Source organism: Homo sapiens, chromosome 8, assembly GCF_000001405.40.
Source record: "Homo sapiens chromosome 8, GRCh38.p14 Primary Assembly".
Lineage (NCBI taxonomy): Eukaryota > Metazoa > Chordata > Mammalia > Primates > Hominidae > Homo > Homo sapiens.
In genome coordinates this window covers 138,638,378-138,660,579 of record NC_000008.11, presented here as the reverse complement: position 1 = coordinate 138,660,579, position 22,202 = coordinate 138,638,378, and the positions used below count along the sequence as shown (strand labels likewise).

The 22,202-nt window shown below is 44.1% G+C and overlaps 1 protein-coding gene across 12 annotated transcripts in view; it reads left to right on the top strand.

The window, feature by feature from the left end:
• Positions 1-22,202, top strand: part of COL22A1 (collagen type XXII alpha 1 chain) — a 325,807-nt gene that overhangs the window by 253,462 nt on the left and 50,143 nt on the right. For all 12 annotated transcript variants that reach the window (XM_017013150.3, XM_011516886.4, XM_011516884.3 and 9 more), the window contains 4 exons: positions 100-144; positions 4,636-4,683; positions 10,802-10,915; positions 13,898-13,951. In XM_017013150.3, coding sequence (XP_016868639.1) covers positions 100-144; positions 4,636-4,683; positions 10,802-10,915; positions 13,898-13,951 — 261 coding nt within the window. The remainder of the gene's footprint in view (positions 1-99; positions 145-4,635; positions 4,684-10,801; positions 10,916-13,897; positions 13,952-22,202) is intronic.

Below are 22,202 nucleotides of genomic sequence, written 5' to 3'. Positions count from 1 at the left end.
TTACACTTAGCAGATAGAGAGATTGGCAGAGGGTGTGGGTAGAGTGGGTCAGGATCGTGTGCTTATCACAGTTAATGTTTTATTTCCTTCTTCTCTTAGGGTGCACCAGGAAATCCAGGAGAAAGAGGGCCTCCTGGCAAGCCGGTATGTCATCTTATGGTTCTGGATGAATATTGACTATCAGTCAGGGCGTAAGCAAGAGAAAAAATGCAACTCAGAAAGTTCAAGAGGTTTTAACAAAGGAACATTTGACAAAACTGTGGGCAGAGGAAACTAATATGGGATGTTGTGAGACTCAGAGATAAACTACAGTGGGAAGTCGTTACCACCATTATGCCGGTTTTCAAAGCCCAGGGAGAGTAGAATGGTGAGAAAGGGATTGCACATAGGAGCTCGGTCATGGGTCAACACCGCTGTCAGAAGGCTTGGCCCAAGGCCAGGAGGTAGGGATGTCTCCCACCCTCCAGTTTCCTAACAGTGCCTCGAGTTGGGCAGTTCAACTGCGGGCCAGCAGGCAAGCCAGCCCGGGAGACATTCCAGGGGTTTAACCTCCCAGGCATGGAACGGGACAGAGAAGGGTGAAAAGTGGATCTGGGGTGAGCAAATGAGCAACAGCAGCACCCATTGCAGATCCCTAACTTGCCCGTTTCCTAGCGCTTGACTGGGTGAGGTCAGCCTTCCCAGTTGCCATCTGTTTAACATGGAAGAAACGTTCTTTCTTGCCTCACAGTGAGACCAGGGGAATTTGTGAAAGGTTGCGGAGATGGGGACAGCCCTGAGTGTTGGTTCCTTGGCAATGTGGCCTCAGTCCAGCCCGAGAGTCCTATATATAGGCTTCCCTGATGCGAGGCACCCTCATCTCCTGGGACACCCTCTGACTGAGTTTCCAATGCCAGAGAAGCCCCAATGGTTTAGCTGAGTAGCCTGGCTATAGGTGGACCCTCTAGGGAAGGAGCAGTGGGGATGTGCTGGCCTGAGAGAGTGGGAGGCAGCTGTGCGGATGGAGAGAGAGATGAGTCCTTGGGAAGAAGCTGCCTAAGATGGAAGAGACAGCAGCAACCAAGACTGGGGAATCGCAGGCCTCAAGAGTGAGTTTTTAAGTCTGGTTTCAGAAAGTGAGATGCTCACCTGGGCAGAAGCTTCACCTTGAGATGGATCTGAGAGGCTGCCTATCTCTTTTGTAAGCCTGACCTGCTACAAATTCCAGGCAAGGACCCAAGGCTCAGATGTCCCTGTGGGTGTGGATGACCCCCCATCCCTTATCTCAGTTGGCGGGCACAGCAGAGACCTGGACAGGGATCCTGGTCTGCCATTAAGGGTCCTGAAACTTCTCACTGAACACCTTCCAATGAGAGGAGCATAAAGTCTTGTTGGAAGTTAGGGACATCTTAATTACTCCTGTTTCCTCCCCTGTAGAGTCAGCTTTGCAACAGCCAAATAAACCTCACTTTATAATGAAGCCACTTCATTATCAAAGTGAAAAGCTCTGGTGAAGTGCAGGGAGAGTGAGGTTCAGGCCAGAAGTCAAGCGGGGGTTCAGATGACCTCTGCCAGATCTGGACTTTGACATCTCCCTGCAAAGATAGTGAAGTCAGCATAGTGCAGCTGATGATGTGGATAATCATGATTGTCTCTCAGGCGGTCAGCAGCAGAACAGAGAGCTGAGGGGAGAGAGAGAGAGGGAGAGAGAGAGAGAAGAGAGAAGAGAGAAGATCTGTTAGATTAACTGAACATACTCCTCCCGAATGGTCCCAAGTATGGCCCATTGGCTCTCAGGTATCTCTGAGCTCACTAATCAGATAAGGCATGGTTGTCTCAGGGATTCCCTCATGTTCAGTCATTTCCCAGAAGGACTCACAGAACTCAGAAAAGCTGTTATGCTCATGGCAATGGTTTATTACAGTAAAATGATACAGATTAAAATCAGCAGAGGAAAAAGGTGCACAGGAAGGAGTCCAGGAAAGACCAATACAAGCTTCCATTTGTCCTCTCCCAGTGAAGTTGTGCAGACAGCACTCAATTCTCCAAGTCACGGTGTGTGACAATACTCACAAAGTGTTGCAACCATGGAAGCTCACCGGAACCTTGGTGTCTAGGGTTTATGTTGGGAGTCGGTCACACAGGCATGGAGTGCCCACATGGCTGATCTTCATCCTCTCTGGAGGTCAGACTGAGGTATGTGTCCAAGGCACCCACCATAAATCATATTGTTAGCATTAACTACCTGGCTTGACCCAAGAACACAGGTAAACAAAGACACTCTTACCAGGCAGGACATTCCAAGGGCGTAGAGGTAATTCCCAGGAACCAGGCAGCAGCCTGGACATTTCTTTGGAATGTGCAGGGTTTGGACAACACTGGCCTGCTGAGCTAATTATTAATTACACAGTTCCATCCCTCAGTGGGTGGAGAGAGTGACCCAAAGTGTTTCTCCAGTGCTGCACCCACCTGGAGAGAAGCATAGAATTCCTGTTCCAGGATCCTCCTTCTGTGTCAGATTAGGTTCTCTGGAAGCACAGCCTGCAGTGGGGATTCTTGTGCTAGTGACTGATTGAGGGAGTGCTCTCAGGAGAAACTTACGAGGATGGAGGGAAGCAGGACATGACAGGGGAAAAAAACAGTAAAAAATGTGTGTTCAAGTCAAGTCTATTCCCTGCCTGATCCCACATGGAACTCTGGAGTGTGAATGGAACCACCAAGCTGTCCCACCTTGAGGCCAGGCCCAGCTCTTTTCACCCTGCCATCAGTCAGTTATCGGCTGTATAACCAGCACCAGGGATGAGGATGCACCGAGAATGGGGAGGATCTAGGTAGGATGTAAACTGGCATCTACATCCCCACACTGTCCACTGTTCTCTGAGCCCATTGGGCCCAACAACAGGTGACATGAGTGACTGACTCATAGAAGGCAGAGACGGCAGTCTGCCATATCCTGAGTCCACCTTCACAAGGCCACTGCCTCCATCCACATGCTGGTCCTGTGTGTCTTTTGAGACTTGTGAGGTTTACAGAAATGAGTCACAGCAAGATGTTAATGAAATTGTATCCAAGACCACACTGTACCTAGACTGAAAATCCACTCCTCATTCTCTCTCCCTTTGTGACTGGTGCCCAGCCATTGTGTCTGATATAACTGACTCTAATTATGCAAAGGACTCAATGGCAATGTAAGAATATCCCTAGTAATAGAATGCCAGCAGCATTAAAATATACCAATTTGAACCATATGAACCCTTTCCTATTATTAACTTCCTAGGGGAAACATATACGGCCTGAAAATAAAACACCTTTCCCTTTTAAAAGTTTTAATAAATTGCTATAGCAAAGGTTGTCTTTTCTTCAGAGGACGTCACTCAGATAACTGGGGAGGTGTTGGCCTTGGCTTTAGCCGCTGCATCCTAAGTGAGCTTTCACTGCAGTGCGGATAATTCCTTGAGCACCTGCAATCTGATTTAATTCAACCCCAGTCTCTCTCAGTCCCTCTTTCAATAGCCCAGAGCATTGATTGAATTTCTGAGCTTATCAACACACAAAACCCCACCAGCACGTTTCAGGCCACTGCAGCAGTTACCTTGAACAAACTCGTGTTACCTGTTTCATGGTTTTGCTAACCACAGGATGGCACCGAAAGCCCATGGGGTCAGGGATGGGGAAATAGCCTGAAAAACTGCCTTGGTTTCAGCCTTCCCAAAATGGCAGACTGAATTTGTAATTCATACACCTAAACTCAAACTTAATGAGGAGAAATCAGCCACCATGCATTTAGTTGTTAAGTCTACCACCTTGCCTCTGCTGCCTGGGTCTTCTGGTATTCCTTTTTCTTTGCAAAATTTAGAATTTTGCAAAGTAGCACACCAGTCTCAAAGTCTTACCTAAGAATCCCTTCTTTCCTTTACGGTCTGCCTTTTAATTTCCATTTTCCTTCCTAGCCTTATGTTCCTTGCACCCAAATATTTTCTGAGCCTTCACCCTGTCTTGGGTTCCAGGATGGCTGTGGTTGTAAGAGCCACAATCGTAGCTCCAACTCACAGTGGGTCTGAGCATGAATTCATCCACCTGCAGACTCCTACCTACCTGTAGAGGCTCTGTAATTATTCCTGATTTCTGAAATACCCTTTCTGGAATTAAAGACTTTTAAGCCATAATGACAAATGACGTGTAAAATGCTGTTTCACCTGGGAGAGCTGAAGACATTGGCTTAAATTCATACTAGGTTGTGGATGACTGATAGTAACAGCTGTTGCTCTTTTGGGATATCCATGACAATCCAGATTGCAAACAGTTTGCCGCTTTGCCTCCCACGGTACTCATATGACCTATCAGGTTTTGGTGGTCGGGGGGAAGAGGGAAAGCTGGGAGAAGAGAAGGGGCAAACAGAAGGAGAGTAGGGATGGCCAAAGGCCAAAGTCAGTCAGACTTGGTTAGGACTGGCAGTCTGTGCAGTTGCTGTCTTGGAGGAGTGTTCTTTCTGTGGCTCCCAGGCTTGGGACATCCACTGGGCTGTCCGTATCCCACGCACGGCGCAGTGTGTCACGTATTGTGTCACACTTTAAAGTCCTTTTGCTTTCTGAAGATGCCTGGGATTTATTGTATATATGCATGTACGTATGTGTTTGTTTCTTTTTATTTTGACAGGGCCTCTCTTCACTACTGTCTCCAGGGGACATAAATCTCTTGGCTAAGGTAAAAGCATACAATAAATGCGCATGTGTTTTGAAAATGGTGATGGCGGGATTGGAGATCTTGATAATAAGTTGGGGTTTTTTTTGAACAACTATTTGGTAGTATTAACGATAACAGCAGCGCCATTAGTTGACAACTCAGCATGTGGCTGGTGATGTGCTAAATCCCCCTGTCCAACACAACAGCCACTGGTCACATGCTGCAATCTAAATGGAAACTAATTAAAATTAAATACAGGCCAGGCACAGTGGCTCACCCCTATTATCCCAGCATGTCGTGGGGATAGCTTAAGCCCTGAGCCCAGGAGTTTAAGACCAACCTGGGCAACATAGAGAGACCTGATCTCTACCAAAAAAAATGTTTTTTAAAAATTAGCTTGATGTGGTGACATGTGCCTGTGGTCCCAGCGACTCAGGAGGCTGAGGTAGGAGGATCACTTGAGCCCGGGAGGTAGAGGCTGCAGTGAGCCATGGGCATGCAACTGCACTCCAGCCTGGGTGACAGAGCAAGACCCTGTTTCAAAAATAATAAATAAATGCGATTAAAAATTTAGGTGCTTGATCACTCCAACCTCTTTCTTTACACATACTTAATAGCTGCATGTGGCTGGTGGCTGCCTTATTGGGCACTGCAGATATAGAGCAGAACATTATTTGGAGCTATGCTACACTAAATGTTTAATGTGCCTCCCTTATTTAATTTTCACAAATATTCTATGGGATCAATACTATTTGTTGTGTTATTCAGCATATAAGAAGCCTGAGATACTGTGAGGGTCAATGAATGGAATGGAATAGAATAGGACATCCTAAGAATAAAATCCTTTCTCGCTGACACCAGAGGCTGGCCTTTAACCCAGACAGGACTAACTCATGTTCTCAAAGGAGGGCCAGCGGCAGAGTCAAACAGCCTGGACCTGGGTCCTGCTGGGCCAGGACCAGAGCGCAGGTTCAGTGAGGTGATGTGGGCTGTTGGGCCTTTTATCCAGGACAAACTCAGATGTGAGTGCAGACTTGACTGGTTTCTAGAACCACATTTGCTTTTCCCACGAGAGGAAAAGGTCCTGAGAGGTTGAACATAACTCGGCCAAGATAGGGCACAGCATGGCTGGAGTTACACCCGAAGGCTAAGTTGCACAGGTGCCCAGGTGCCTGACCAAGGACCTGGGGTCTTCAATGTTGAGAGCTGTGAAAGGCTGTGAACGAGGGAGAGAGAGGTAAGGTCTATACTTCAGAAAGAACAGGGGTGCTGCAGCAAGTGAGGAGGCCCCTTCTGCTGTCTGTACTTCAAGCCTCTTCGTAACTCTGGGTGAAGGGTCAATACTGCATTTTGTGACTGGTCCCTTCCTTCCCTCTTGTTCTCTAAAAGACACTGGGTGATTTCAGAAAATACCTACTTCATACATGAAGCCAAGAGAGGAAAACAAAAGAAAAAGAAAACCTTCTCGGAAGTCTGGGGCGTTCAATCTCACTGTAAATTGAGATGCCTTGATGGGAAAATTACACCTTTTATTAAAAAATAAGTAGCAGAACAATCTTTACCAGTTTTTGTTGACAAGTGCGGTAGTTATTTTTTTTCCACATTCAAGGACATGACAAGAAATCATTACCTATTGATTCAATCTTCTGTTTATTACAGGCTTTTATTAGCCTGGATTCTTTTTCTTAATTCCCTCACTCTAGAAGGAGCTAGGTTTTCATCAGCCACCAGCCATCTCCACCCCTGACCCCTCACCCAGAGGATTTCAACCTCAAGATGTCCCAATCTTTATGTCAATAATAAGAGTGAGCACTGAAATGGCTAAGCATCATTCCTCACGGCCATAGCACTGAGACAGATATTTAGTCAAATCAATATTTCCTCACTATGAAAGGATACAGCTGTGCTCATCAGAGCAGCTGGAAACCCCAGAAGGAATGCAAGCGCCTACGTGCAGGGTAGCCTGTGGAGACTCACTGGTCCCACAGAGCTGAGCTTTGCCTGGAAATTCTATAGTCAACAGCCTGGGATGAGTGGATTTGGCCAGGTCTGGGGAACAGACTATGTTCATCTTCCTGTTTTGTGCAGTCACTGGCTGTCATCTCGATGTTGTAAGTTAGAGTCTGCTGGTCTAGTCTAGGTGGCTGGTGGCAGATGTCTCCCCTGCTGAGACATCTTGTATTACAGAACATTTGTCTCTGCCCCAGAGAGTTTTATAACTTCATATATCTCTTTCTGGTAGTTGGAGAACTGACTGGGTAGTAAGTTCTAAGAGTCCCTGTTAAATGAATGTCCATAGTTGGATCTGTGCCCATGGAGGTCATCTTAAAATTGTCTCCATTACCCTTGCAGAAATATTATATTATTAAATCCTCAAAAACAATCCTGTGAGTGGTTTCTGTTGCTGTCTGCATTTTACAGATGAACAGGTTAAGCATAGATGGGCAAGACACTTGTTCAAATCACAGACCTTGTAGTGGTAGAACCAAGACTCAAACCCAGTGAGACCAACTCTGAAGCCTTACGCGTAGCCTCTCTACTATCCGATTCATCTTTACGTGAGCCAGAACTTCCTGACAGCTATCTGATGAAGTCCAGGCAGCTAGTGAGTTCTCTGCCTGTCACATAGAGATTCGGAGATGAAGGCTACACAACTCTTTGGTAGGAATATCATAGTGAGGATTCAGATGTCCAGTGAGAAGGTGGATGAAATGACCTAGAGGTCATTTCCTCTCCTGGGAAGCAATGACTGTTATTTTCTCCATGTAGTAAGCATTTTGTTGAGTGCTTACTTGGTACTTCAAACCACACAAAGTACAGTATTACATGCAATGACCTAACAAGCTGAGTTTGTTGAAAATAGTTCAGACCGGCGGGGTGCGATGGCTCATGCCTGTAATCCCAGCACTTAGGGAGGCCGAAGCAGGTGGATCACTTGAGGCCAGGAGTGCAAGATCAGCCTGGCCAACTTGGGAAAACCCCGTCTCTACTAAAAATACAAAAATTAGTCAGACGTGGTAGCATATGCCTGTATTCCCAGCTGCTTGGGAGGCTGAGGTGGGAGAATTGCTTGAATCTGGGAGGCGGAGGCTGCAGTGAGCCTAGATCACACCACTGCACTCCAAGCTGGGTGACAGAGCAAGACTCTGTCTCCAAAAAAAAAAAAAAAAAAAAAAAAAAAACCAGAAAAGGAAAAGAAAATATTTTAGACCAAAGGAAGGGGTAGAGACTAGAGGGAAAGAACATTAATAGATTACATACAATGAACCCTGAAATATGCTAGGCACTTTGTATGCATTATTTTATTTAAATTTCACAACAATCTCCTAAAGTAGGAGAATGATCCTTTTTTACAGGTGAGGAAATAGACTCAAGAAGATTAATTGACTTGCCTGAGATAACTCAGAAAGCCCAGAGATTGGGAGCTAGTATTGATGATCACGGTCATCTGATCTGCAAATGGGGCAAGGCCACAGATTTAGGGAGGAAAATAAACAAAACCGTAATGGCACATGTAGCAGCTAAAAGTCACTATGCTTTCACTCTGTGTCAGGACAGTGTCAGGCATTTTCCATTAATTGTCTCATTTATCATAAGACTTTGACATCCCCATTTCACAGATAAGGAGACTCAGGGAGATGAAGCCATGATTCCAGGTGGACAGAGGTTCAAGTGGCGTATGGGCAAGCCCATTTGGTTGGAAACACAACCCTATCCAGTTTCAATACATTCAGAGAAAGTGTGAATTGCCCTCTGAGCTGGAGTTTGGTGCAGGGCCAGGAGGGACTCGGGGGGCTCCCAGGAGCTCTGGAGCCAAGGTGAGCATCTGTAAGACTGCAGATTGGGGTGATCTCACCCTATGCTCACTGGATTCCAGAACTGGGTCAGTGAGTTGAGTCTAGCTCCCTCACAGGTAGGTCTGGGTCTCCGACAGCTCTGGTCTTCAGGAAATAATCCTGCATAGTATGCAACAGGCCCAGGTTGAGAGCCCTGCCAGAAATTAGAAAGAAATAGGAAAGTCATAAGATTTTTGTATTACTCAGGTATAATCTTTTTATGTTATGGATCCCACTGCAAAGAATGGCTTCCTATCACCAGGGCACCCTTTAAGTCCAGAAATATCTCAGTGGCTAGAATTTTTGGTGTCATCAGGCTAGTTCCATTTGCATCCATCCATCCATCCATCCATCCGTGCATCCATCCACAGTTGCAATGTTTCATGGATGCATCTCATCTTAGAGTACAATAAGAGAAGGTCTACAAAGAGGCGAGCTCCTTTCAGCTCTGCTACTCTTTCAAGCAAAGTACAGTTATCAAAAGCAGCTCATCTAAGTAAACTGAATATCTCATACACTCTTGCTTTATATATCCCAGTATTTAACTCTTTCCATCCTCCAAATAATCCAATCAGCTTTGCAAACTAACCACTAAAAGAAGATGGCACAAGTCGCCAGAATGTCAGGTGGACAGTTAATTGGTTGATCGGTCAGTCAGTTGGTTAGTTAGTTGGGATGCCTGATTCATTCATTTATAGCACTCATGCTCTGTGGAAGAATATTTGCCATGAATTTGGCAAGCAAAGATAATTCTACCTCTGTCCTCTGAGTGCTTACACCTTCTGTTTGCCTGGTGGAGAGAGGATGGAATAAAAGACCATTCCAACAAGGAGACTAGTACTTCAGTAGTGAGGATTCCTGAGATTTCTGGGAGCAGGAAGAGCCTGTCCCCATCCTGAGGCAATCAGGAAGTCTTCTTGGAGGGGGAGACTTCTAAAGAATCTCCAAAGACTGAGTAGGTGAAACAAGTAAAAGGAAGGTGGGCCATTCAGAGATGCTTTTGTGATGGAAAAACTTGACCATCCTGAAATCGGAGACCAAGAAGAAAACAAAATCACCTGCAGCTTCACCTCATGGACTATGAACAGTGCAGCTTCCGCGTATTTTTGCAGGTGCCTTTGGTGGGGCTTTCAAAAGACCATAGTTAGTGCATGTATTTGTGTCAGTTGACAGCGTTGAACTGAGAGCTCTTCAAGACACACACTCACTGTGGTCCCAAACTTAGCACAGTGCCTGACACATAGTAGGTGACTTTCAAGTATTTTTTCAATGAGTGAGTGACTGAGTGAATAAATAAACTAACAATAATGGCTAAATGTGTGGGCATTATCTATCTATATGTATCTGTGTATCTGTCTATCTGTCTATCTATCTATCTATCTATCTATCTATCTATCTATCTATCTATCTAATCTTTCTTGAGAGTATTCTAAGTGCTTTACTTGTGTTATCCATTAAACTCCGATCACAAGGAGAGAGGCAGGGTGGATGAGAGGGAGGATTAGAGAGAAGGCCATGGAGGGGGCAAACCAAGAGGCAGGTGGATGAGGCAGGCTGGAGTACAGTTAGGTGAGTTTTATTTGGCACATAGTGTGCTCCAAACTGTAAGATCCAACTAATCAGAAAACACATGCTCTGGGCTCAGAGGACTTTAAATTTACTCGAGGAGCAATATTTACCTGCCTTAAAGAAGTAGAACAAAGCCCAATTCCAGGGAACATTGATTAAGTGCTTGCCTTGGGTAAAAAATAAAGCTAAGCATGGTCAGAGTCGGCATTGTATCACAGAAACAAAGTCCCAAGGGTGTGTGCCTGTTGCCTTGTTTATCCTTCTTCCTTGTTCAGAAACCACTTGACGGGCAAATGCAGAACAGAGAATTCAGCTCCCAGCTTGGCCTCTAACATCAGGGACAGAGCATGCTATTTTTAGTAATACTAAATGTTTGTATTAAATCTGCACTGTTAATGTTTTCAGCTGCTCACAGATCATTTTACATGGATTTTTGACATCATTTCCTCAGGCTATCCTTCCAGAAGTCTGGGTGGAAATAGGGGGAAATGGAGGAATATCCAGATATGTCAGTGCTGAAACCTAACTTTTAGTTAAGAAAGGGAAAATGCAAAGTTTAGACACAAGAGTATTTAGATCATGACTCAGTCCACCTGTTTGCTTTTCTATCTTCTCTGGAATTTAAAAACCAAATCTCCATCTGGAGAGATAGCAGCCAGGGCTACTTTGCTTTGCTTTGAAACTGTATTTGCTAGTTATTCTCTCTTTGTCCCCACCTCTCTCCCCACTCTCAGGATGTGTGCAATGACTGCCCTCCTGGCCCCCCAGGCCTCCCTGGTCTACCAGGTTTTAAAGGGGACAAAGGTGTCCCAGGAAAGCCAGGGAGAGAAGGCACAGAAGGGAAAAAGGTAAGGAGAAAAGGGGAAACTCGATTTTTATCATTACAATGAAAATATCATTCTGGAGATCTCAGTATTGCCCCATCTGCCTCTGAAGGTGTTCAGGGTTTGAGGGGTTCAAGATTCAAGATAGATGAGGAGTACTGGGTTGTGAGATACAGCTATGGAAATGGTAGGAAGTGGGTATCTATGGGTCTTTGTCACTTTAAGAAGATGTTGATTGTGACTTCCCAATACATGCTGACACCTGGAAACATACACTCATTCAGTTACATTCCTTTCCACCTTGTCTTTCTCCCTTCCTTTCTTTTGTCATCCAACAACTTTTGCCTATCTACTATGTAATAGGCACCAAGATAGGCACTTCAGACTCATAGATCAATCAATGGATCCATCCATTCATGCATGCATTCAATCCCTTGTCATTACCTGTTTATGACACCCCATTACATGTGTCTTATATGTCAGTCAACATGTAGACAATGGGGAAGTTCAGAAGAAAAAGGCTGAGACCCTATTCTAAAGGAGTTCATGGTCTGTCCTGGAGCAAAACAGAGGTAGGGAGTTTCATGGGTGCTGGGGAAATAGAATTGAAAACAAAATCTCCTCCCAACCCAGAAAACTTCTTCACAAAGGTGGAAGAGAAAGAAAACCATTTTAATATTGAATTACATTTAAACTAGAATATAATGTGCATTACAGACAATCTGCTAAGAGATGGTAAGGACAGGAAGAAATCTCACTCTTTTATATAGCTAAGCAGATAAAGTCCATTACAGACATTTTCTCAAGATAAGCAATACTTAGTCCTCAAGTAGGAAGTCTTGACAGTGCTATTTGTCACATACGTTCATCTTAGATTCACCTGGTAATTCAGATGGCCCTCCGTCTTAGCTAATTGGCTTTATCCAAAGTGAAAATAAACTTCTTGCATCTTTATGTAAGAAGATAGTGTTGCAACTTGGGGAGATACCAATCCCTAGACATTGGGAGATAGTGGTGGATCTTCCTTGCTGATCATATTTCACAGAGATGGATCCTAACTCCTAGAGAAAGACATTCCTGGGTCATCAAACTGGAAAAAAAAAAGCCTTCTTTGCCTTTTAAAAGGATTTACACACATTTCAAAGAGACAGATAAAGAACTGACAATGATCTGTTTTCTAAAGTAAATGCTTTAAGAAAAAGTCTTAGGTGAGATTCTCTTTCTTTTCAAAAAAGAGAGAGTTAAGCCTCTTATTTGTGGTTTGTATTTTACCCATACATGGTACAGGGAATACAAACACAGATGTGAAAGATGACCTTTATTCTGACTCTCTGAGCCTTAAGCAGTGCTTGTTCCCTTTCCACCAGCTCAGCTATGCAGGATATTTGAGCATAGACCCCGTGGGCATGCCACAGTCCTCGAAATTTCTCCATACACTCGTGGGCGTGCCACAGTCCTCGAAATTTCTCCATACACTCTGGAACCCTGGAAGGAACAGGGGCCAGTGCTAAAGCTGATTTGACTAAGAATAATTTCACCTAATTAAATTCTCCTGGTGATCAGCTTATTAAAAACAGGCCTTTATTTGATTTGCAGCATTTCTTGTATCATGTTTTATCAGATAGTAAATAAACATGTTTGAATGTACTTACATCCATGTCATGGGTCTTTCCCATTGCCTTAATTTTAAACAGCTCAGAAGATCATTTAGTTCATTAAGATAGATGGGTCTTTAGGAATTTATTCCAGGAGTCTTAACCTCAAAGATTCTTGATATCAGTGCAGAGGCTGTCAGGGTGGCATTTCTAAATCACTTAGGGAGATGTTTAGATCAGTCTTTTCCAGACCTTTCTACCACAGTTGCTTTGCATCAAATCACTGGGAATGAGGCTTGTATTCTGTGTGTTTACTACAACTGCTACACAGTGATTCTGATGTTCAGAACCACTCAATGTTCCACAACTTCTGGCAGGACCTGGCAGGGGGCCACGAACCCCCACCCTCCCACCTGGGTAGTCCTTTCTCAGAGTCAAGCAGCTGACACTCCAGGTATTACAGAACTTAGAGTGAAAATAACCATAAGAAAATGGTTATGAAAGTAACTATAAAGAACATGCAATGTGTGCCAATATAATTATACATGCACGTATATTTGTAAAGCACAAACACGCACACACAAATGAGATCCTACATAATTCAGACTCTATTTCTTAGTGCAGCACACTTTTTCTCTCTTCTCAACTGTATTAGTTATCTATCACTACATTACAGATTGCTCCAAAACTTAGTGGCTTAAAACAACAAATATTTATTATCTCAAATTTCTGGGGCAGAAATCCAGAAGTGGTTTCGCTGGGTTGTTTTGGCTCAGGTCTTTCATGAGGCAACCCTCAAGCCCTGAGCTGCAGTCATCTCAGGGTCCATCTGGTAGAAGATCCCCTTCCATCCAGGTTCACTCTTGTGGCTGTTGATGGAGACCTCAGTTCCTTACCACATGGGTGGGCCTCTCTGCAGAGCTGCTTGAGTGAGATCAAGACGTGGAAACTGGTTTTCCCCAAAATGAGTGGTTAGATAGAAAAAGTGCAAGGTGGGGGGCGGGGGATGGTAGCAGGCCAAGGTGGGAGTGAGCCATCTTATACTCTAATCTCAGCAAGTACACACCATCACTTCTGCCATGTCCTGTGGGCCATAGAGACCAAACCTGGAACAAATGGCAGGACGGCTGCTCCAGGTTGCAAATATGGGAGGCAGGGGCCATCAGGCTATCTTGGAGACACACCAACTAACCATATTAATGGTGGGTCATGCCATGGTTGCACAGCCACACTCAGTACTACCACTTGCCTATACCCTTTGCTCAGACAGGCTAGGGGCAGGGGTAGCTGACGGAAGTCCCAGTGGAAAATCAGTGAAGGGAGGTACGAGGCTGATGGCATGGTGATGACCCTGGATGTGGGCCTGATACTCATTCTTGTTTTCTTTTTTTTTCTTGTATCCCTGATACAGGGAGAGGCTGGGCCTCCAGGCCTACCAGGGCCCCCAGGAATAGCTGGACCACAGGTCAGTGAGACTTCATAACCATCTGCATGGATCTATTCTGCTCATCTCAATGGTTAATCTCAATTTAAGGAAGAGTGATGGCCAGTGTAAAGGAGTGGTTTTAAAATCAGAAAACCCCTGTTCTGGGTCTAAGCATGGCACTGACTATCCTATTGACCATGGGCAGGTCACTTCAATGTGTGGAATCCCAGTTGCTCATTTACAAACAACTGCTTGTTGGAAAGTATGAAATGCATGGAAGAATTGGACTGTGTGGGACCTACTGGTTAAGACATGAGTTTTGTGGTCAGACGCCTCCACTTAACTCCCAGTAATGACAAAAATACAAATGGTGTCAGATATTTGTTAAAATGGAATGATATGATACATAAAAAGGATGTGGCACTCAGTTGAAAAATACTAGGAAAGTGCTTTTTGAATGCAAGCGAGCACTGTTATTCTCATGTGAGTGATAAGGCATCTGTCTAAAAGCAGCTCTGTGGCTCTGTGGTTTCCCAAAGCCAGGGAGGACAGCCTGAGAGAAAGGGGGGTATAATCTGAACCCCAAAATAGGCAGGGAAGCTCTCTGGCTGTCAAAACAAATGTTCTAGGGCTGGGGCTGTTTGAGCTGTTGGTGGTGTTAGTATTTAGCTCTAAGAAGAAACTGCCTGAGTGCTGGTATGGGGACAGATAGACCCACACCCTCATTCCCTTCCCGCTGTCATTGGTGCTCCCCAGAGTGTGCTCCCTTATCTCTTGTGGCCTCTGTGCTGCTGCAGAATGAACACCTTCCCCACCAACACTCAGGGCCAAATGTGTCCCTATGTCTCTTCCTGAGGCCTGGCTGGACATAGCATGCCTCATCTGGTAGAAGAGGTGGCATAAAATTGTCAATAGGAGAGAAAGCTCAGAAGTCAGTCCTTGGGGTTAGAATTCCATCTCAGCTGTGTGACCTTGGGATAGTTTCTTAACCTTTCTGGCCTTTTGTTTCCTAAAGTTAACTAGGGACTATGAAAACTATGAGCCTACAGGCTTATTACTGTGCCAACTGCGGGCAAAATGCTCCCATCAGTGCCTGGTATATTGTATCAACTGAAGAATGACAAAGTGTGGCTGTTGTGATACCTCAGTTGTTGTCTCCTTGGTTGAAAAGCATTTAAACAAGAGACACACAGCAAAGGAGATGCAACATCGAGTAATTTATTGCAAAAGAAAAAGAATACTTTGAAAGTTAGGGCAGAATAGACACTATGCCTGAGAGAGAGAGGATTCAGGGCGGGCTGCTCGCAGGGATGAGATAGCAAAGACCAGCATTAGGGAGACTCCCTTTATGGGAGACTTACATGATTATTCATAAAGAGGTGGGAAGAGGCGTTACTCATAAGCACGTTCTGAGTGGTCCTCTGGCTGTACATGTGCAGTAGCTGTACATGTTTGTTCGTACGTCACATGTCTCATTAGCATCTTAAATCTCCACCCAGGGGTATGTTTTTTACCATTATAATGAGCAAAGCGTCAGTTTGAGGATGGGCAAAATCAAAGTGCACATGCTCTCTAGAGGGGAAAGTCCCTACTGAAGATAGCTTTGCGTGGATGAGCTCAATTATAATGTGAATGCTGAGGCTTATTGTGTTGCTTGTACTTACTGTCACCACGGTTGCTGCATCCCAAGAACATGACTACCTGTCCTGTCTCAGGTCCACAGACTTGGAAAGGAGATCTTTATTTCTCACATAGGATTGCACTTGCGGGCCGTCCGTCCCACAGGCTGGGAAGCATAGCCTCCAGCAGAAACCAAGAGCAAGTGCCTCAAGGGAAGGGTAAAAGCAGCAGGAATTTATGCTGAGCAGGCTGGCCAAATGAATATATTTAAAAAGCTATAGGAGAAGTCATGAATCTTTACAGAAGGAGAAACATGTGCATGGGAAATTGAGTTTCATGCCTCATAATGGGTCATGTGTTCAAAAAATGGCAGCATTAGCATGATCCAAGGGTGGAGTTTTTAAAGTTTTGAAACCTCTGACGTCAAAAGGTGAAGCAGAAGACATGAAAGCTTTTGACTACACGTGCTCTGTGAGTTGGCCAAAACTGGTCCAGAGATGGTGGTCAGGCTGGGAACTCAGTTTTTAAGGATTTTCTGGGTCTCCTTGGCCAAGAGGGGGTCTGTACAGTTGGTTGGGGGGCCTAGGATTTTATTTTTATTTCTCAGTTGTAAGTGCTCATTTGACATTAGCTTTTTTAGCCCTTACGGTCACAGTGGTGGCAGCCGCATATTTAGGGTGAGGATTTGGGAATAAAATTTAAGAAGCCAAAAACCTCAGCAACCTAGGTAAATAATACTTTAATGCAATATTTTATAAAATTTAAAAGTAATGCAATCATTTCATGAGGAACAAAATATCAAAATTTAAAATAAAGACATGACCCAACCCTCCACTTGAATGACCTACCTAACTCACTTCTGCCAAATTCCAGCAGTGTCAAATACCTGTGTTCATTTACATTTTGATATTTCAATCATCTTGAGTTATTTTAGATTGACTTTGGCTTTTTAAAATATTGCATAGGGGTCAGGTGTGGTGGCTACCACCTGTAATCCCAGCACTTTGGGAGACTGAAGCAGACAGATCACATGAGGACAGGAGTTCAAGATCAGCCTGGCCAACATGGTGGAACCCCATCTCTACTAAAAATACAAAAATTATCCAGGGATGGTTGTGCACATCTGTAATTCCAGCTACTTGGCCAACATGGTGAAACCTCATTTCTACTAAAAACAGAAATTAGCCAGGTGTGGTAGCACAAACCTGTAATCCCAGCTACTTGGGAGGCTGAGGCATAAGAATCGCTTGAACCCGGGAGACAGAGGTTGTAGTGAGTGAAGATTGTGACACTGCACTCCAGCCTGGGTGACAGAGTGAGACTCAAGAAAAAAAAATTTTTTAAAATATATATAAAATAATATCCCTATGCAATCTATCTGTCTATCTATCTATCTGTCTATCTATCTATCTATCTATCTATCTATCTATCTATCTATATTGCATAGGGATATTATTTCTTTTGGCTTCTCAGCAAGAGGTATTCAGTACCCAAGGTGAGTGATTCACTTTCCTTACCCTAGGCCCAGCCCTGGAAAAGGGTGTTGGCACTGTTATTATGACTGGTAAAAAGCAAGCAAAAAACCAATAATTCTATGTTGTGACAACAGCACCAGCCTTGTGGTATATCAAGATGGAAAACACCCAGGTCTCCCAGACCCTAGCTGACAGCTTAAGACATCTAGCGATCATGACCCGTGGACTGTGAAGATTTAGATGGTTTTGACAGAGGCAAGACTCCTGCATCAGGAGTTATAGATATCAGATCTCAGTGCAGATAGAACAAGAGATTTGCCCGGGGCAGTGTTAGATTGAAAGGTATCAGGAAAGTGTAGCATCTTCAAATGTTGGAACTCCTTACTGGGCATGACCTTCTCTTTCTGGGATCACCAGCTGAGGCCAAGCTTCTTGCCCTGTAATTTCAAATTTTAACTGATCCTTAAGTAACCTTTGCTGTCAACTTGCTGGCTGCTGGGCTTAGCCTCTGCTGAGGGGGAATTGCCTTTTTTTTTTTTTTTTTAAGATAGAGTCTTGCTCTGTTGCCCAGGCTGGAGCGCAGTGGTGCAATCTCGGCTCACTGCAACTTCCACCTCCCAGGTTCAAGCGATTCTCCTGCCTCAGCCCCCTGAGTAGCTGGGACTACAGGTGCATGCCACTACATCCAGCTAATTTTTGTATTTTTAGTAGAGATGGGGTTTCACCATGTTGGTCAGGCTGGTCTCAAACTCCTGACCTCTTGATCTGCCTGCCTTGGCTTCCCAAAGTGCTGCGATTACAGGCATGAGCCACCGCACCCGGCTAGAATTGTCTTTATTCAAAGAAGTAAAATCATATCAATTAAACAGATAAGGAGCTAGCTCCATTAAGTATGGACTGTTTTCTCCTTCAGCCCAAGCCTGCATGCAGTGCTGATGTTTTCAGTAACGGCCCTGCTTTTGTTCCCTTATAATTTGCTTCAACGGAGGGTTTGCTCCTTTAAATATTCTGAGAACAGAAAGCTTCCATCCAGAAAAAAAGAACAACAATTAGTGCTGCATCTGAAATACAGGGGTTCTTCTTGCTCCATTTAGGAGCGGATGGTGACTCCAACCATGAGAAGTCCTTGGGGCATGTGATCTAACCCTGCATGATGAGCCCCAGGCAGTTGCGTTGGGCAGAGTGCTCAGTGTTCCAAGGAGCAGGTTACTATTTCCTGCAATTGTCAGCATGATGCTAGGAGGCAGAGCTGTTGTTTCACTTTACAGATGAGGAAACTAAGGTTTAACAAGATTAAATGCCACAGCTACAAAACTAGTGGGTGGTATAACTGGGGTTGACCACTAGTAGTCCAACTTCAGTACCCTGAGTAGTTATTGTCTTGTCATACTCCTTAGTAACAGCTGATACCAACACCAGCACCCAGGACAGCTCCTAATGGGGTGCAATGCTTTAGTCTACACTATATCTGCTAATGCTCCTGTCTGCAATAGCTGCCCCTTGTCACCACTTATTGTTGAGAAAATGCATCACAGAAGGGTTAAATGTGTCCTCTGAGGACTCAGTCTATTGTGGTTCTTGGCTTGAAACCCAAGCCAGCTTCTATGCTTGTCATTTACCCCACACTACTTTCCAGAAAATAGAAAGACTGTTTCATTTCCTCTCTGTTCAACTTCATTTATCAAACAGTATCTCCACTAGACTTGGGGATGTGAAGATGAGTTTGTAAACTGAAAATGCTACCCCTGATGGAGTACTTACAATCATTGTCAGCATCCTTTCATAACCAAAGGCTCTGGGCATTCATTGGTCTCCTGCACTGCCAAGAGGGTTTGGTTCCTTTGTTTGCAGTTGCAATGCAGCATCGGGGAAGTAACTTCCCCAAGGTTTATCTTACAGATTTGCAGCTGCTGTCTTCAGTGGCCGGCATGAGGAGGCTCATGCCACACGGTCAACTACAGAGCTCCATTCTAGGACTTTGAACTCACATAAAACACTGACTTTAAGATATAGGGTCTGGAGATCGTTGCTGCAGTTGTGGTTATGATCCGTGTAAAGGAGGAAGAAGCAACAAGATGGTAACCACAGCAATGACCCTGGGAGCATGTATTCTACAGAGTTAGACGTAAATGCCTTGTTTGGGTTGGAAATGATGACTATTCTGTCCCCTACGAAAAGCGTTTTTATTTCCTTCTTATAGCATGTTCACCAACCAGTAATAGGACCTAAAGGGGGCCTGGCATGGATCCAGAGACACCCAATGAGCAAAAGTCCTCATTTGGAGGGTATGGATGACTCCGAGGAGGCAGAGATAATACCTGCTGCCATTGGCACTACCTGAAAAAGCCTTGGGATTCCCATCCTGCCTAGAAAATAACCCAGAGCCACTTACTCCATGTTCTTTCCTAGAGCAGAAAATTCTTTCCGTCTGTAACTGCCACGGTTCTGAAAGATTCTCACCAAGCATCACCTTAACAGTTTCCTTTCAAGTCAGGAGGTATATAGAGAGGTCAGATATGGGCCATTCCTTTCATAGCCTGATGCTGTGACAGAGAAGAAAGACCTACAAGCTTGCAGCGAACACTTAGGAATGTCTGATGGAGGCAGGAAGCCAACAAGGCCTGTGGGCACAGGCCTGGGCTTTGGAAGCCAGTGGTCCCCAACCCACTTTGCCTCTTATTAGCTGAGTGAATTTTCCTTGCTAATTATAGGACTTGGGCATTTATTATTCTCTGAACCTTGGGTCCCTCATTGGTACCTTGGGTCCCTCATCTGAAAAAGAATTGTACAATCTGTCTCATAATGAGAATGCGAGAACTGAACAAGGGGGAATTTACAAATCACAGCAGGTAGGAAGCATTTAATACATGTAACTGCAAGTGGTCCTCATAATACTTGCTTCATTTGAGTTAACAACAACCACAACAAATTGTCAGTAGAAGAGTAAACGACTGAAAGAAAACTAACACCATGGAACAAGGGGTAACCTGTGAAGGCCACCTGGAGGAGGTAGGATTTTAGTTGCCACCTGGAGGAGGCAGGATTTTAATTGCATTGGAGGGTTAGTTAGGAATTTACCAGCTATTGGTGGAGAAAGGTTTTCCAAGCAGGACAACAGCATGTAAAAGTTTAGGAGAAGGGTTTGTTCTGAGAGTCGTAGAGAGTTACTAACTTGGGAAAGTTTAGTCCCTGCCCTCAAAAGTTTGAAAACCTTTTGAGAAAATTGCCTGTTCAGTGTGTTCATGAAGGACAGCACTCTTAGAGCAATTCCTGGTATGAATGTACCTTCCAAATGATTGTTTTATCATGTGCTTAGCACATGATGGTTCTGGAAAAATGTAATTAAAAACAAAATCTCCCAACTCAGAGAGGTTTTCCACGAAGGTAGAAGAGAAAGAAAACAATTTTATTATTGAATAGCATTAAACCAGAATGTGATTTGCATTACAGACAATATGCTAAGAGATTGCAAAGACTGAAAGAAATCTTACTCTTTTAGATAGCCAAGCTGATACAACCACCTATCACATACGTGTTGTCAAGATAAGCAATAACTAGTCCTCAAGTGAGAGGATTTAATGACACCGCATGTCCTTCCTAGATTCACCTGGTAATTGCGGTGGCCGTCTATGTGTCTGTATTAACTAATTGACCTTATTCAAAGCAAAGGTAAACTTCTCACATCTTCATGGCAGGAAATAGATTTGCAACTTGGAGCCAGGCATCTGCTGAAGTTGGGCTTCTACTGTTTCACAGGAACTGGGAGATGGATAGGAATACTATCTCTTTGCTGATTCTATTTCAAAGAGATGGTTCCTAGGTCCTTCAGAAAGACATTGCTGAGTTCCTGGGTCACAAAGCTAGCAAAAGTCTCATTTAGCTTTTAAAAGTATTTGCATACCTTTCAAAGAGACCCCCCCTAAAAAAAAACTAACAATAACAAGTTTTCAAAAGTAAGTGTTTTCAGTAAACTGAGTGGGGCGAAGTTTCTTTCCTTATTTTCAACAGGGGGAATTAAGCCCTTGAAATGACTCTTTAATAAACCTCTTCTGAAGAGGACTAAATATGAATGCCCAGTGCACATGGTTTTTATCTGTTTCATTGATTGTTATATATCCAGTGTATAGAAAGCTGTCTGGCCTATGCTCAGCATGGTCAGTCAGTCTTTCTGACTATAAATCCAGTGCACTTGACATCTTGAAACCTGTTGGATAAGGCATCATGTTCTAGGAAAATAGCCGGAAAAGTAATTTGGGCAGAGAAAGCCAGCTTGGATATTTGATCATCAGACAAATGGATCTGGATTAGATTCCAGACCTTGCTTTCTATAAGCTGTGTGAGCTCAGGTGAATGACTGAACCTGTCTGGTCTTCAGATTTATTATCTAACACTCTGATAATAAGCCCTACCTCAGAGAGTAGACTTACTGGCTCAATAAGAGAATAAAGACATATTAAATATTTTTGCATCAGTTCAAGATATAAACAAGGAAATATATGTAATGGGATATCATGTGGGAAGCCTTGGCAGAGTTCCTGGAAGAGTCGGGGCTCTGTAAATGTCAGCGCCCTTCTCTGGAAGGAAGTGAATCAGGCTTGGGGGTGGGTGTGTTTGCTTTGATCCCTGACCTACGTTGGAGTAGGAGACAGGGACAACTGTGGAGATCCTTGAGCTGCTGACATTTTCATTGTTGCAACATGAGTGTTGAAACTAGTCTAAACCCAGACTGAGGACTGGAATTTGAAAGGAAGCCATTTACTTTTAAGGCAATTGTCCTAAATGTTAAGGAAGCAGTGGGCTAATCTGTGTCACTTCTTTTCATTGATTACAACATGATCTGCAGAGGGTGTGATGCCTTTATTTAGATTTAGAAACAGTAAAAATAATTACGTGGAAAAATGTCAGAAGAAATGCTCTTTCTCTCTGACTCCATTTTTTTTCTCTTCTAAACAATGATATTTAGCACTTCACAGATATGAGCTCACCTAACCCTCCCAATATATCACAGAGAGAGAGGGGGGATTATTAGATAGTCACTGTCATCAGTGGTCTGCTGAGGTGGTAGAACAGTCTGGATTGAAAGAGGGCTGGACTTGATGTTTCCATGAGAGAACTGTGGGGCACTGGACCCCCTGAAGGACCCTCCTAGATGGACCTGCCCCTCATCCTTTATTTACTAGATGAACAAACTGAGA